Source organism: Homo sapiens, chromosome 5 (assembly GCF_000001405.40).
Source record: "Homo sapiens chromosome 5, GRCh38.p14 Primary Assembly".
Classification (NCBI taxonomy): Eukaryota; Metazoa; Chordata; class Mammalia; order Primates; family Hominidae; genus Homo; species Homo sapiens.
The window spans coordinates 179,103,972-179,120,927 of NC_000005.10; the positions used below are offsets into that span (position 1 = coordinate 179,103,972).

The 16,956-nt window shown below is 46.7% G+C and overlaps 1 protein-coding gene across 3 annotated transcripts in view; it reads right to left on the minus strand.

Moving 5' to 3' along the window:
- Positions 6,882–16,956, minus strand: part of ADAMTS2 (ADAM metallopeptidase with thrombospondin type 1 motif 2) — a 234,609-nt gene continuing 224,534 nt past the window's right edge. For all 3 annotated transcript variants that reach the window (NM_014244.5, XM_047417895.1, XM_047417896.1), the window contains one exon: positions 6,882–10,353. In NM_014244.5, the coding sequence (NP_055059.2) occupies positions 9,896–10,353 (458 nt within the window). In that variant the 3' untranslated portion in view covers positions 6,882–9,895. The remainder of the gene's footprint in view (positions 10,354–16,956) is intronic.

Sequence of the window (16,956 nt, forward strand, 5' to 3'; positions counted from 1 at the left end):
AGCAGGAAAGATCCAAAATTGACACCCTAACATCACAATTAAAAGAACTAGAAAAGCAAGAGCAAACACATTCAAAAGCTAGCAGAAGGCAAGAAATAACTAAAATCAGAGCAGAACTGAAGGAAATAGAGACACAAAAAACCCTTCAAAAAATTAATAAATCCAGGAGCTGGTTTTTTGAAAGGATCAACAAAATTGATAGACCGCTAGCAAGACTAATAAAGAAAAAAAGAGAGAAGAATCAAATAGACGCAATAAAAAATGATAAAGGGGATATCACCACCGATCCCACAGAAATACAAACTACCATCAGAGAATACTACAAACACTTCTATGCAAATAAACTAGAAAATCTAGAAGAAATGGATAAATTCCTTGACACATACACCCTCCCAAGACTAAACCAGGAAGAAGTTGAATCTCTGAATAGACCAATAACAGGCTCTGAAATTGTGGCAATAATCAATAGCTTACCAACCAAAAAGAGTCCAGGACCAGATGGATTCACAGCCAAATTCTACCAGAGGTACAAGGAGGAACTGGTACCATTCCTTCTTAAACTATTCCAATCAATAGAAAAAGAGGGAATCCTCCCTAACTCATTTTATGAGGCCAGCATCATCCTGATACCAAAGCCGGGCAGAGACATAACCAAAAAAGAGAATTTTAGACCAATATCCTTGATGAACATTGATGCAAAAATCCTCAATAAAATACTGGCAAACCGAATCCAGCAGCACATCAAAAAGCTTATCCACCATGATCAAGTGGGCTTCATCCCTGGGATGCAAGGCTGGTTCAATATACACAAATCAATAAATGTAATCCAGCATATAAACAGAACCAAAGACAAAAACCACATGATTATCTCAATAGATGCAGAAAAGGCCTTTGACAAAATTCAGCAACCCTTCATGCTAAAAACTCTCAATAAATTAGGTATTGATGGGACGTATTTCAAAATAATAAGAGCTATCTATGACAAACCCACAGCCAATATCATACTGAATGGGCAAAAACTGGAAGCATTCCCTTTGAAAACTGGCACAAGACAGGGATGTCCTCTCTCACCACTCCTCTTCAACATAGTGTTGGAAGTTCTGGCCAGGGCAATTAGGCAGGAGAAGGAAATAAAGGGTATTCAATTAGGAAAAGAGGAAGTCAAATTGTCCCTGTTTGCAGACGACATGATTGTATATCTAGAAAACCCCACTGTTTCAGCCCAAAATCTCCTTAAGCTGATAAGCAACTTCAGCAAAGTCTCAGGATACAAAATCAGTGTACAAAAATCACAACCATTCTTATACACCAATAACAGACAAACAGAGAGCCAAATCATGAGTGAACTCCCATTCACAATTGCTTCAAAGAGAATAAAATACCTAGGAATCCAACTTACAAGGGATGTGAAGGACCTCTTCAAGGAGAACTACAAACCACTGCTCAAGGAAATAAAAGAGGATACAAACAAATGGAAGAACATTCCATGCTCATGGGTAGGAAAAATCAATATCGTGAAAATGGCCATACTGCCCAAGCTAATTTACAGATTCAGTGCCATCCGCATCAAGCTACCAATGACTTTCTTCACAGAATTGAAAAAAACTACTTTAAAGTTCATATGGAACCAAAAAAGAGCCCGCATCGCCAAGTCAATCCTAAGCCAAAAGAACAAAGCTGGAGGCATCACACTACCTGACTTCAAACTATACTACAAGGCTACAGTAACCAAAACAGCATGGTACTGGTACCAAAACAGAGATATAGATCAATGGAACAGAACAGAGCCCTCAGAATTAACGCCGCATATCTACAACTATTTGATCTTTGACAAACTTGAGGAAAGCAATGGGGAAAGGATTCCCTATTTAATAAATGGTGCTGGGAAAACTGGCTAGCCATATGTAGAAAGCTGAAACTGGATCCCTTCCTTACACCTTATATAAAAATCAATTCAAGATGGATTAAAGACTTAAACATTAGACCTAAAACCATAAAAACCCTAGAAGAAAACCTAGGCATTACCATTCAGGACATAGGCATGGGCAAGGACTTCATGTCTAAAACACCAAAAGCAATGGCAACAAAAGCCAAAATTGACAAGTGGGATCTAATTAAACTAAAGAGCTTCTGCACAGCAAAACAAACTACCATCAGAGTGAACAGGCAACCTACAAAATGGGAGAAAATTTTCGCAACCTACTCATCTGACAAAGGGCTAATATCCAGAATCTACAATGAACTCAAACAAATTTACAAGAAAAAAACAACCCCATCAAAAAGTGGGCGAAGGACATGAACAGACACTTCTCAAAAGAAGACATTTATGCAGCCAAAAAACACATGAAAAAATGCTCACCATCACTGGCCATCAGAGAAATGCAAATCAAAACCACAATGAGATACCATCTCACACCAGTTAGAATGGCAATCATTAAAAAGTCAGGAAACGACAGGTGCTGGAGAGGATGTGGAGAAACAGGAACACTTTTACACTGTTGGTGGGACTGTAAACTAGTTCAACCATTGTGGAAGTCAGTGTGGCGATTCCTCAGGGATCTAGAACTAGAAATACCATTTGACCCAGCCATCCCATTACTGGGTATATACCCAAAGGACTATAAATCATGCTGCTATAAAGACACATGCACACGTATGTTTATTGCAGCATTATTCACAATAGCAAAAACTTGGAACCAACCCAAATGTCCAACAATAGACTGGATTAAGAAAATGTGGCACATATACACCATGGAATACTATGCAGCCATAAAAAATGATGAGTTCATGTCCTTTGTAGGGACATGGATGAAATTGGAAATCATCATTCTCAGTAAACTATCGCAAGAACAAAAAACCAAACACCGCATATTCTCACTCATAGGTGGGAATTGAACAATGAGAACACATGGGCACAGGAAGGGGAACATCACACTCTGGGGACTGTTGTGGGGTGGGGGGAGGGGGGAGGGATGGCATTGGGAGATATACCTAATGTGAGATGACGAGTAAGTGGGTGCAGCGCACCAGCATGGCACGTGTATACATATGTAACTAACCTGCACATTGTGCACATGTACCCTAAAACTTAAAGTATAATAAAAAAAATGCCTTAAAAAATTATGCAACAAAATGACAACAGGATATCTACATGCAAAAAGATGAATTTAGACCTTCATGTCACACCATACATAAAAATTAAATCAAGATGGACCATTGGCCTAAACATAAGAGCTAATACTGTTATACTTTTAGAAAAAAAAAAAGGAAATCTTCACGGCCTTCAGCAATTTCGTGGGGAAATTTCAACACACGGCGCTGCCATGTTTGGATATCAAGATGCAAAAAGATCAACGTGTATCCAAACTTCACTTTTTATACAAAAATTAACTCAAAATATAGACAGAAATGTAAAACCTAGGAATATAAAACTTCGAGAACAAAACATAGAAGAAAATCTTTGTGACCTTAGGTTGAGTGAAGATTTCTTAGATACAATAGGAAACACACAGTCCATAATAGAACAAATTGATAAACTGAACTCTAGTAAAATTAAAAACTTCTGCTCTTCAGAAGACACTGTTAAGAGAATAAAAAGAGAATAAGAATACAAGCCACGAACTGGGAGAAAATATTTGCAAAGCATATTTTTGGTAAATTACTCATAATATACTCTCCAAACTACATAAGAAAATAAAAAACCTAATACAAATTCGGCAAGGTTTCACAGATGCCTCACCATATATACACATATACATGACAAATAAGGGCATGAAAAGACATGTCCATCAACTGGTAAATAAACAAAGTAAATATATCTGTACAATGGACTACTACTCAGTCATAAAAGGGGATGAACTATTGATGTACTCAATAACACATATGAATCTAAAAAATTATGCTGACTGAAAGCAGAGAGTAGATAGTGTTTAATTTCATTTTATGAAACTCAAATGAGACACCGGTAGCTGCCTGGGGACAGGAGTGAAGGCAAGATTACAAAGGAGCAGAAGGCAATTTTGGGGGCGATGGATAGGTTCTCTTTCTTTTTTTTGAGACAGAGTCTTGCTCTGTCGTCCAGGCTGGAGTGCAGTGGTGCGATCTCAGCTCACTGCAAGTTCCATCTCCCGGGTTCAAGCAGTTCTCCCTGCCTCAGCCTCCTGAGTAGCTGGGATTACAGGCACGTGCCACCACACCCGGCTAATTTTTGTATTTTTAGTAGACATGAGGTTTCACCATGTTGGCCAAGCTGGTCTCGAACTCCTGGCCTCAAGTGATCCACCTGCCTCGGCCTCCCAAAGTGGTGGGATTACAGGCGTTGAGTCACCATGCCTGGCCGGTTCCCTGTCTTGATTGTGATGATGGTTTCCCACTTGTATACATGTTTCAAAATTTGTCAATGTATACACCCAAATATGTGCAGTTTATTAGATGTCAATTATACCTCAAAACTATTTTTAAAAATTGGGTATGCATTTTATATATGTTTACTTCTTTATTTCATTTTTCTATAAATTATTCTTTATTCATCCACAATGAAATAAAAACAGTACGTGGCTTCAAAACTAACAGAAGGTTAAAATGGAATGGGGAAAAAAGCAGCCAATCCAAAGGAAGGGGAGAAAGAAGCGGAGAAAGAACACAGAACAGTCAGGAGGAACGGAGAGCACAGAAGGCAGCCAGAGGGTGCTGGCCGCAGGGATGGCATTAGATATAATGAACTAAATAGTCCAATTAAAGAATTAAAATGTTAAGCTATATTAAAACTGATAGTCTACAAAGCTCAAATACAGCACATACGATACAGAAAATTTGAAAGTAAAGGAGAAGTTATATCATGCAACCTTTAACTGAAAGCAAGCTGATGTAGCTATACTGGACTAACATTGGGGGAAATTTGCAAGACAAGTTATTTCTGGGAATAAAATCAGTCAATTCATTAAGATAAAAGGATGATGTCACCAAGAAGATAACAATTAGAAATGTGTGTGTTCTCAATGTGGTTTCAAAATAGTGAAAAGCTCCTTCTTTAAAAGAAGGGTAAAAAGGGGCCAGATGCAGTGGCTCACGCCTGTAATGTCAGCACTTTGGGAGGCCAAGGCAGGTGGATCACCTGAGGTCAGGAGTTCAAGACCTGCCTGGCCAACATGGCGAAACCCTGTCTCTACTAAAAATACAAAAATTAGCTGGGCATGATGGCGGGTGCCTGTAATCCCAGCTACTCGGGAGGCTGAGGCAGGAGAATCCCTTGACCCAGGAGGCAGAGGGTGCAGTGAGCTGAGAATGTGCCAGGCACTCTAGCCTGGGCAACAGAGCAAGACTCGGTCTCAAAAATAAATAAATAAATAAACAAACAAATAAATAAATAAATAAAAATTAACGACGGGTAAAATGGACAAAACTGCAATTGAAATGGGAGAAATAGTAAAATCCATGATCAGTGGGAGCTACTGAAACAACTTTCTGGCTGGGCGCAGTGGCTCATGCCTGTAATCCCAGTCCTTTGGGAGGCCAAGGCGGTCGCATCACCTGAGGTCGGGAGTTCAAGACCAGCCTGGCCAACATGGCAAAAACCTGTCTCTACTGAAAATACAAAAATTAGCTGAGCGTGATGATGGGTGCCTATAATCCAAGCTACTCATGAGGCTGAGGCAGGAGAATTGCTTGAACCTGGGAGGTGGAGGGTTGCAGTGAGCCAAGATTGTGCCATTGTACTCCAGCCTGGGCAACAAGAGCGAAACTCCCTCCAGAAAAACAAACAACAACAATAACAAAAAAAAAAAACCCAAAAACCCCCTAACTTTCTATCAAACTGATAGAACAAGGAGACAACAAAATCAAGATACAAAATATTTCAATAACAAATTAACAAATTTGACATCATGGGCATGTATAGATACTATCCCCAACAACCACCAATTCCATGTTCTTTTAGAAGGCATGGGAATACTTACAAAAATTGGGACAGAAGAAATCTCCTCTGCCTTCCTACCCCTGCTTCTCCCTATACCTGCTGATAGCAACAAGGGCCAGAGATAAGGGTTTTCTTTAGAAGTGGAACACGAAGGCCAGGCGCGGTGGCTCATGCCTGTAATCCCAGCACTTTGGGAGGCCGAGGCGGGCGGATCACGAGGTCAGGAGATTGAGACCATCCTGGCTAACACGATGAAACCCTATCTCTACCAAAAATACAAAAATTAGCTGGACATGGTGGTGGGCGCCTGTAGTCCCAGCTACTCGGGAGGCTGAGGCAGGAGAATGGTGTGAACCCAGGAGGTGGAGCTTGCAGTGAGCAGAGATCGCGCCGCTGCTCTCCAGCCTGGGTGACAGAGCGAGACTCCGTCTCAAAAGAAAAAAAAAAAAAAGAAGTGGAACACGAAGTACAAGTTGGGTGACCAAATTTAACAAATAACACAGGATTCTCAGTTAAATTTGCATTTCAGAGAAACAAAAAATAATTTCTTAGTATAAATATGTCTCATTTTCATGCTAAAAAAAAGCATGTGTGTTGTTTCTCTGAAATTCAAATTTCACTGTGCATCTAGTATTTTTTCTGGAAGCCCTAATCATAGGAGAGAAGGGATTGTCATCAGGGAGGAGATGTCTGGAGACTCTTCATCTCTTCCCTGAACTAAAGGTTTGGTTGGGGCCCTTGGCTCAGTCATGTGACTTGGAGAGCCGACCCGTGGGGAGCTAGGAGAGGGAGCCTTTCTTCGGGGTGCCTTCTGCCCTTTGCATGGTTCTCCCTTGAGCAGCCCTGGCTCAATGCTCCCCGGCGCCCTGACCTCTCGGCCTTGTGAAGGCAGCACCTCCTTCCATTCTGCCCACGTTCCAGCCAGGCACGGGCACAAGTGTAATGAAGACAACAACAAACGCAGGCATGATTTGCAAAAACACAGACATTTTAACTTTAATAAGTTATAAAAGTAAGGAGTCAAATTTTACATTACAGAACAAAGATGTATTGGTTGTTGTATCGGTAAGCCAGAATTTTGTGATTTGAGTTCAGCACCTTGATTCAGTATAGTGGCTACCTGTCATACAGGAGGGAGTGGAATCATAAACTGCTTCATCTGCTAAGATGTTGCTATTGAGCACCATGTATATACTCAAAACAAACAGAAAAACCTTAAAATACAAATGAAAGCCTTATACATGAAATTCCATGGGTTTTCCAAAAGGAGTAAATCAGAGAGCTGGGTTCCACAAATCTAACACGAGTCTGCCCACTAAGGAGAAGTGACTCAGGGACACTGTTGCAGATTTTCTAGTGCAGCGGAAGGTCTGAGTCTCATCATGCGGTTAGAAACTCAGCTAGAAGACATCTGTCTGCCTCCTCTGGGCGCCAGGAGCCCCTCAGATGCAGAAGAAGCTGGCTTGCGAAGATCAGGACTGTTACTAAGCCGGTTCTCCAAGTGGTCCCCAGCTCAGAGATTTGCGTCGTTTCTCAGAGCCCGGTGAACGTTGGCATTCCTTGGACAGACTTTTGAGGACCATCCGGCTCTAGAGGACTCTTGATATATGGCTCAAGGATTGAGGATGGCACAGAGGGTCATGGCTGTCAGTCCCAGAGGGCACCTTGCTCCCTTCAGCGGAAGACAGGTGCCCAGGGAATGTCCCAGCTGGGCCTCTTCCCAAAGGCTTCCAGCCTCAAGCCAGGAAGCCCTGCTCTGCTGAGATCTTGGAATGGAGTGTTCCCATCCAGAGGCCCCTAGGCTGGGTAAACCGAGTCATACTCTCTGCCTAGCGTTAGTCCTGAACTTCCTCCACATCCTAGGACAGACCCAAGTAAGAACTGCCCAGTTCTTCAGCCTGTGAATAGCACCAGCTGTCCTGGGTTCAACCAACAATGGAAAGCCTCGGGCTCCGTTTCCTAATTACAGAGGCAGGATTGCACACATGCTCTAAACCACATCTTCTTAAGGAAGGGGTACTATGAGAGATACTCAGAAAGGTTTTCTCCAGTTTGGTTCTCCAGGAGACACGGGGACAGTGCGCAGCACGTGTGGGATGCGGTGGTGGAGGGCGGGAGGCTAGCCATCACCCAGGTGGAGACTGAAGCATCAGCCCAGATTCCGTTCTTGCTGGTTCCTACATCGTCATTTTGTCCCTTGGATCATACACACAGAGCCACCCACATGTGCAGCCTCAGACAAACATACTTATTAGCACCTCAAAACTCAGTAGAAGGTAGCCACTATGCTGTTATCCTGAGCCTCATCCATATAATGGGGAAATACACATGAACAAATTCTCGAAGAGGATTGGTGAGAGTACACAGCCTCTAGAAGTTTCTTAAACAGGAAAGGTTTAAGAATTATGTGTCAGGCTGAGCCCATCTAAGGAGCTGACGTGCCCCTGGGTCTTGTAAGCCCAGAAAGTTTAAGCTTCACGTTCACAAAATGTCAAGGCAGTGAGAGGTAAAAATGAGCCACTCTTCTCCCATCCGCCCCTACTCCCCCTTCCTCCTATTTCTCTCTTACTCGCATGTTGCTCACAAAGCACCATTCTCTGGAAAATAGGAGCTATTAAAGTTTTCAAGGAGCAAAAGACAATGTAGGCTCTCCCCATCTCCCACCCTAAGCCCCCATCAGAGGCCACATTTTGCAGGTCACTGCTGGGTTCTGGAGCTTCTGAGAGACAGAGGCGAGGTGGGGCAGGGCGGGACAGGGAAAGCCCATTCCCAGCAAGCAAGCAAAGCCCACAAAGCCCAGAATCCCAGAACCCTTAGACTTGGCCGTAGGGAGATTCCAGGCCCTTGAACCGCTCACTGGACCTTCCCAGCAGAGCACGTGCCTCTCTCATCTTTCTCAGGTACTTGGGGAGGGAAGAGGCTCTCTGGGGAGCCCTGGAGCCAAGGTGGCCAGGGAAGAATGCAGGAGCTCTTCCCCCAGAGCCTGGAAGGCAGCCGGCAAGGCCAGGGTTAGTGGACAGGGGAGAGGCCTGGGAGAGCACCCCACTGTTTTCTTGGCATGGACCCTGTTTAGACCTATCCTTATGTCCCGTGATAGGATTCTCATTACTTTCGCAGGTGGAGGACAGCTGCACGGCTCAGACTCGGTCGAGACATTCAGATGCCGTACAGCATGAGCACCAAGAAGGTCAGAAGGCCTTTAGTTCTTAATTAGCAAGACTGCATCAGACCAAGTGGAGGCCTCCTTAAAATGTTCTGAGTCGACCTTTAAAGATTGAGTTTTTTTCATGCAAAAATCTAGACTTCTTCCGAAAAAGAACACTGTCTGGCAAGGCCGGGGATAGTAGAGCAGAGATGGAGAGAGATACAGATTTCACAGTGGCAGCAACAGCCAGAACCAAGTCAGCTCCAGGTGGGTGTGGCTGTCAGGGCGGCCATGGTCCCCAGCGGGCCACTACGCTCACCCCGGTCAGCCGCCTGGCCCTGGAAGACGATTTGAGTTCATCACCTCCACTTCATTGTACTCATCTCGGCAACGGGTCAGTTATTCAGTAAATCACCATTTCTCCTAAGAGTCCCACAGGCTGTGTCTGGGGATCGGTAGGGAATGTCATGCATCTCCGCCAAGGAAAGGAAGGTTCCCAATCACTGCTTAGCAACTTGGGGCCTATTTTTGTTCTCTCAGAGTGATCCCTCTTGCCCTGCCCTCACTGAGGGAGGCCATACAGCCTCTATATTCCTCTCCACTGCACACCTGACGCCACCACAGTATTTGGTCGCTCCTGGGCTGGGAAGCACACGTGCTAACCTAGTTACCACATGCTCATGCCTATCTTTCTTACGTCATTCCCCCTCTTTGTTTTCTCAAAACCTTTTGGAATCAGGAATTTTGACTTCATCTCCATGACACAGGATTTGCTATCCCATGGAATATCTCTATAAGCAAGAAAAAAATGCTAGGGATGCTATCTTTCCATTTTATTAGAACTTTCCGAGCATCTCTTTCTTCCGCATCTCATCAATGAGCTCTTGGATTCTTTGGTTTCTGGTCTTTTCATAGGGGCTCGGTCGTCGAGGGATTAGGTTGGGTGGCTGGACTTCATCTTCCAGGCCATGGATTTTGTAGGGTTCATCTACGGCATTGGTTTCTGGGTGATCCTCTGTGGCATTGGTGCTGGAGGCATTGAGAGGGACCTCCAGGGGGGTGCTTGGTGATGGCCGCACCTCCATGGCTACAGTGGGCACTGGGAGGGTAGGCATGAACACGTCAATGTCGTTGTGCTTCCCAGGCGGTGGCTCTATCCTGCCCTCCACGTTGGTGAGGTTGTTGTACAGGTTACAGGACTTGCAGCACAGCTTGTTGTAGCCTGGGATGGAGCAATAGCGGGACAAGACTTCCATCCTACAGAATATTGACTTGTCGCCTTGGCAGTGGCCCTCTGAAAAAGAAAAGTGGGACAAATAACCAAAGGACAAGATAAGGGGGACTTTGTTCCCCCACAGGGTGCAGCTTGCTGGAGGAGGCATATGGAAGAGCCCAGAGACAGCACAGAGGCAAGTGAGCCCAGGCAGAAAGTCTGTGTGGGTTCAGTGTCAAAGCATCCCCAGTGCAGGCAGTGTCCAGGGACCCCTGCCTGGAAGTGCTGACACACAAGCTGTGAGCAAGGCTTCCCTCTTCCAAGCAGGCCCCAGTTGAACCTGGATGTTTCAGTATCTCTTAAAGTTTGAGAAAGAAATGAGGCCCGTTTGTTCTTACAGAGTGATTCCAAACTCATCTTAAAGAATAGGACTTTATCACATCTTCACATTTGACATCCCAGTGGTAACCCCAGTGAAATTCTGTGGCAAGGCTTGACTCTACAATAATCTCTAAGTAGTAACTATAACAAAATTAAACCTAAAAGAGCCAATTCCTAAGACCCAATATAGCAAATCCCAGGGCCGCTGTGGCCCCACCATGCTCCACAACTCCCTGATGTTGCTCCCATTCTGACCCAGATGCCCCGGACGATCTTTTAACTGAACAGCACCTAAAGGAAAGTTAAACATCACCCAAACCTGCATGGGCTTTCTTATACTTGCCTCAACTTACCCAACAACCTCATTTCCAGCCTCTGCTCCATCCCCCTATAGCACCGCCACCTTGCGCATCCAGCCATTTCCCAAAGAAACGTGCTGCCCTCACATAGATTAATCGTTCCACCCTGCACATCTTTCTCTTTCCTTTCCACCCAAGAAACTGGTCATCTGTGGTCCAGCTTACATGGAGAGCCCCGACTCTCCACAGAAGCCACCATTATCTCTCACTTTCCACCCAGCCATCTTCTCCCTGGCCCATCTCGACCTCTGTCTGCGGCTATGTTCATTCAACCCATCAACTCTTCTTGCGCTCACACTCTCTTTACTCTCTGTCTCCTTCCCAAGTTTTCACCCCTTCCCTCTCCCCATCCCCTCATTCCACAACACAAAAATTAAGATGATTTTAAAAAATTCACTCAAGAAGAAAGAATAAGTCATGTTACAGGAGATACTTGATCCAGTATAAATTCCGAATCACTGACCTCCGTGAGCCCAACACCGCCTGTTGTGGTCTCTGCTCAGCTGCTCTCTACTCTCCACAGTGATGACTTCAGACCTTTCCCACACAAACCCCCGACGTGCCCTCCTTTTCCCTCACTCTCCTTAGTTGAACTCATCTACTATTGAAAGGAAGGAAGGAGGGAGAGGGTGAAAGGAAGGAGGAACTGAAGGAAGGAAAGAAAGGAAAAAAGGAAAGGGAGGGAGGGACAAAAGGAAGAAAGGGAGGAGGAAAGGGAGGGAGAAAGGGAGGGAGAAAGGCTCAGGCATTGGATGGGAGCCACATCTGACAGTTATCCCATACACCAACATATGACACAATCTACACCTGAAGCTGTCCAAAACAGACAAGACCCCCTTCCTTCCATCGAGGGCCAGTGGTTCTGATGTCCTGCTTCTTAATGGCCACTGCTCCAGCCTGTAATTTTCCCTTAGAAGCTGGTGACAGACCACCAGCTCCAAACCCCTGAAGCTTCAGACTTGCTACAAGCCAAATCCACCAAGGGCCTGTGGGTCCCAAAAGCCCGAGACCCAACCCCTGCAGCGTGAGCTTAGGGCCTCTGCTGCCCACCCTGTCTCGGTGCATGGTGTTTCAGGCACACAAGCCAAACACCTGGGTGCCCCGTCCTAGACACTCTCAGATATGCCCTTGTTCCTCCCCGTCTCCCACCTCCACCCTGGCTGAGCTGCCTCTTGGCTGCACTATGGGAGGGGTCTGTGTCCATTCTTCACCCATGTCATCCAGCTATCCTGCTTCAGTCAGAATGCTGTTTTCTCACTGAAGATGTGACCACGGCACCCCCCCCCCACCCCCCGCCACTTGAAGTCCCTGACCTGTCCCTTTCCCCTTTCCAACCTCCCTCTGGCCTTAGACTCCTTGCTCTGCATGGAACTCCTTTTGGCCACAGGGCCTTTGCACATGCAATGCCTCTCTCCTGCCTCCAGCTACCACCCTTCCTCCTTCAGGGGCAGTTGGAGCACATCTTCCTCAGGCAGGCATCGCCTGACCTCCTTGAGCAGGTAAGGTCTCTGCAGCACACGGTCTCAGCAGCTGTGCCTTCCCAGCCAAGCTCGCATCTAATTGTCAGATGAATGACTAGTGCCAGACTTTTTCATTATCCTGAAAGCTCCACAGGGCAGAGCCCCAGAGCCTAGAACAGTGAACCAAATAATGCATAAAGGCATAAAAAAGATAAGGTATGAAAAAGATCAATGTGAATAACTGAGGAAGTTCAAAACAGGGAAATTTTGAATCTGAAAATGGCAATTTCCAGGCAAGAAGAATGCAGGGAGGCCCATGCATCAGAGGGTGCCCGACTTCGGCCCTGAGCTTCTACGTGGCCAAAATAAGGAGAACACATGACTGGCTGCAGGGTCCACCATGAAAAGGGAGTTAAAACCCATCGGCCATCAGGAGAAGTGGGGATCTCCCTGACACTGAGCCCAAGAACCATGCTCACAGTGCCAAGGAGGAAGGGGGAGGGCCTGGTACCCAGGGGAGATGCCAGAAATCAAATCGGAAGATCCTGAGATGTGGCTGTCAGGATTTTGAAACTGGCAGAAGGCTTTTCTCAGATAAAAATCTTACACAGGTGCCCAATATATGAAACAGATAGACTCAGACTGCTGATGATAGTACTGTTTGAAGGTGGGTGGAGGAGACACAGAGCTCCCATCCCTGCCCCACCCCATCCTCTCCAGCAGCCTGGTTTGTGAAACCACTGAGCCCTACCCTCAGGGAAACACAGGGGGTTCTGGATAAGAGCTGATGGTGGCCTCCCTTCTCCCTACCCCATAGGCTTTGACAAAGGAGGGAGCCTGGGCCTGATGGTGCTGGGAGGGACACCCTGGCTGCACACTGCCCCCTCTCCTGTTGCCCATAGTTTTTCCTTCACACAGATAAGGCTGGTGTTACACATTTATCCACATCTCCACTCCCTCACTGTCTCCCCCACCAGGCTGGGATCCCTGAAAAGCAGGAATCACATCAGCCTGGTACAGTGGTGGGCCATCTACGGCTAGTGTGCCAAGTCCCTCCCTCCACCTGGTTTTGTAAATAAAGTTTTATTGGATCAGGCCCATGCCCATGCATTTTTTTTTTTTTTTTTGAGATGAAGTCTTGCTCTGTCGCCCAGGCTGGAGTGCAGTGGCGTGATCTTGGCTCACTGCAACCTCCGCCTCCTGGGTTCAAGAGCCTCCCGAGTAGCTGGGACTACAGGTGCGTGCCACCATGCCCGGCTAATTTTTGTATTTTTAGTAGAGACGGGGTTTCGCTATGTTGGTCAGGCTGGTCTTGAACTCCTGACCTTGTGATCCATCCACCTCAGCCTCCCAAAGTGCTGGGATTACAGGTGTAAGCCACTGTGCCCGGCCCATGCATTTCTTATCTGTGGCTGCTTTCCCACTATAAAGGCAGAGCTGAGTCCTGTGACAGAGACCATGTGGGCTCCAATGCCCAAAATATTGACTACCTGGCCCTTTACAGAAAAGGTTGACTGATCGTGGGTCAAGTGCACGCCTAGGTCAGAGCCATGCACGAGAAAGTGCTCCATAAATGCCCATTGAGTGAGGGGTGGCAGCCCCAGGTGGGGTCCCCCTTCCACCTGGTCTACATACTGGACTTCTATGTCTGATTTTCTCCCCACAGTGGGCGGCATTGCTCTTAGTTTAAAAAAATAAAAATACGTCAATGAGTAAATACAAAATTGAAATAAAATCCTGGCCAAGAGATTGACTATGCAAATAGCCTAGGAAAATTTCAAAATAGCCTAGAAAAATTTCAAAGTCATCATGACCAACTGATCTTAAAGATGCCCCAGGTTTGTACATTTTTAAGTATCATCACGGACCACAGAGAAGAGTGATGCACCTGAGGTAATGACTGGCGATGCCTCTCCGCCAAGATGAACACTGTGGTTTTACAATATTTGGTCTTCGGCCATTTCCAGTAGCAATCAAGTAGTGAGACCTATTGTCTTCCAGTGAATGACAATCAACCATTGAGAGTAAACACAGTTTTCATAAACTTAAGTCACTGTAGGCTACTCCCACGATCTTGGCTACACCTGAACAGCACCTGCATTATTATTTGCTTAGTCATATCCTTTAAATTAACTCCTTTTTACACTTAAAATTTGTTTTAGAAGACCTTATACTATTACCACTCATGGAAAGCTACTGCAGTGAACAAAGGTAACCCTAAAATAGGAATACAAAAAAAAAGTTTAAAGTCCTTTTAAAGTCAATTTCAAAGTCACACTTTAACTCATCAAATTCTAGAGAGAGACTCCTGCCTGCCAAGCTCTGAGCTGAAGGGAAATGAGCAAATGTGAGACAGGCTAAAGCTGGTAGCAAGTGAGGCTTTCTTCCTGAGGTCACCATAAAGCATAAAGGGAACTAGGAAGGGACCGCTCAGTGCAGTGCAGCCCCAGCTATGTTTATGCACCACCGAATCACCTTCCATTTCCCATGCTTTGGAAAATGCTGGATGGAGAATACCTCATTCTCATTTCTCAGTAAAGGAGTGGTAGGCTCAGACACCCATGCCAACATTCAAAAGGTCATGCAGCTGGTTAAAAAAGCAAGAGGCACCCCCCTCCAGATGTGCCCTCCTTGGCACCTGGGCTGTAGGCGGCGTCTCTAGCTCTGGCCTAGGAGCCTCTTAGCGGGAATTGCTCCTGACCCATCTCTGGGAAGAGAGACTGAGTGGAGGGAAGCACTGTCTGACCCAATTTTCCCTGATGCTTCTTGTCTCCTTTAAGCTGCGATTGCTTTTGATGATCAATGATCTGAGCTCTGGGCAGGCTGAACTCAGCCATCGCTACCATGGTTGCTCCCTCCCCAGGCTAGCCCCCGGGCCCGGCCCTATGCCCAAGGCCTGTCCCCATGACACTGGGCTGCTCCCCACTGTTCTTTCTCATGGCCTTCCACGCTTTCTTCCCTCTCCCTGGTGGGACTCCTCAGTGGTACAGAAAAGGGAGGAGTGAGACTTCCATGGGCAGGACACAGCCCAGGCCCCAGGTCAGGAGGTCCCTCTTGAACCCAGACCCTCTTTCTGGCCATTTTCAGCAATGTGAGAGAACACAGGCCCTGTGGCTGCCTGGGAAGACCTTGGAAGACATGGGCAGGCCAGTTGCCCAGAGAGCCACCACTGCCCTGCCCCTCTCCCGACCCAGGCTTTCCCGGGGCTGGCCCAGCCCCCCACCTGAGCCGGATGGGCACCTCTCCCTTCCTGGACGAGTAGCCCAAGGCCGAGAACTGTGCCTGGAGCCAGGGTAGTGACCTGCTGGTGGCTCACGGCAGGTGACCTGGACTAGCAATGTCTGGGCTACTGACCCCACATTCCCACTCCACAGGCTCTGCTCCAAAGATGAGGAGAAACCCATCTCGGGCCCTTTTCCTGACGAGGAGACCTCCATATAGAACCTAGATATTCTTGCGAGGTGCTCATATGACATGATTCAAAACCCGGAGTCACGGTGGGGTGTCTGCACGGTTTGCTATCAGATTTTGGAAAATACCTGGGGAGGGGAGATACACCTTTCAGGGGGAGGGGCCCTAAATATCTATGTTGGGCAGTGGGGAGTGGGGCAGTAAAGTCATTCAAATTAGAAACCGGGGTAGTTAATGCTACTGAGTGAGGCCCCGCAACTCCTCAGTGTCTGGGCCCCCAAAAAGAGAAGGAGCCATCAGCTTGCCAAACCCACGCACCCAGTTTCATGGAACTTTTATTGAGTTTATTTGTGGGATGCATGACAGGAGGTCTTTCCATCATTAGTAAGAATGAAAGGTCATTTTCACAGTCACTTTGGCACACGCTAACGTCTCATAAAAAAAACCAGAAAAGCAACGACAATGGAACCTATAGAATACGTCATTAAATACATACAAAACACTAATAAAATATCCCTGATAAACCAAAGTGCATATGCCCAGGACAGTATTGCACCTTCCCCAGTCGCGCGTGTCGCTCGCATGGCCTCGTCAAAGTTGGAAGTTAACAGTCGTGAGATTAGTACGCAGGTGCACACCAGTTATTTACAGAACGGCGGTCAGAGCCGCGGGAGTAGGGGCCGGCCGCCCGGCAGGGGTGCGGTGTGAACAGAGGCGGTGGCTGGGGTGGAGGGGCGGGGAGGAGTGCTACATGGATCGCGGCTCAGGGCCCAGGGGGTCGCCCCCTGGGTGTAAGGCCGCGCTGTGGAGCACCCTCGGGGGCTCCATGCAACAGTCAGCGCCGACTGGCCAGTGGGGCATCAGGGCAGACTCCAGTCCGCGGAGACGGACGGTGCGCACCGCTCAGCCCAAGGAGAGAAGCCGTCTGCACTTGGAAACCTCAACCTTGGCAAAAGGTGGATGAACGCACCGGCTCCCCTACACCTTCCCTGCCTTCTACTGGCCCACGTTCCCCCTCTGAAGCTGGAGTTGGCAGCCAATCCCGTTACCTTTCAACTTTAAGGCATCTTCTA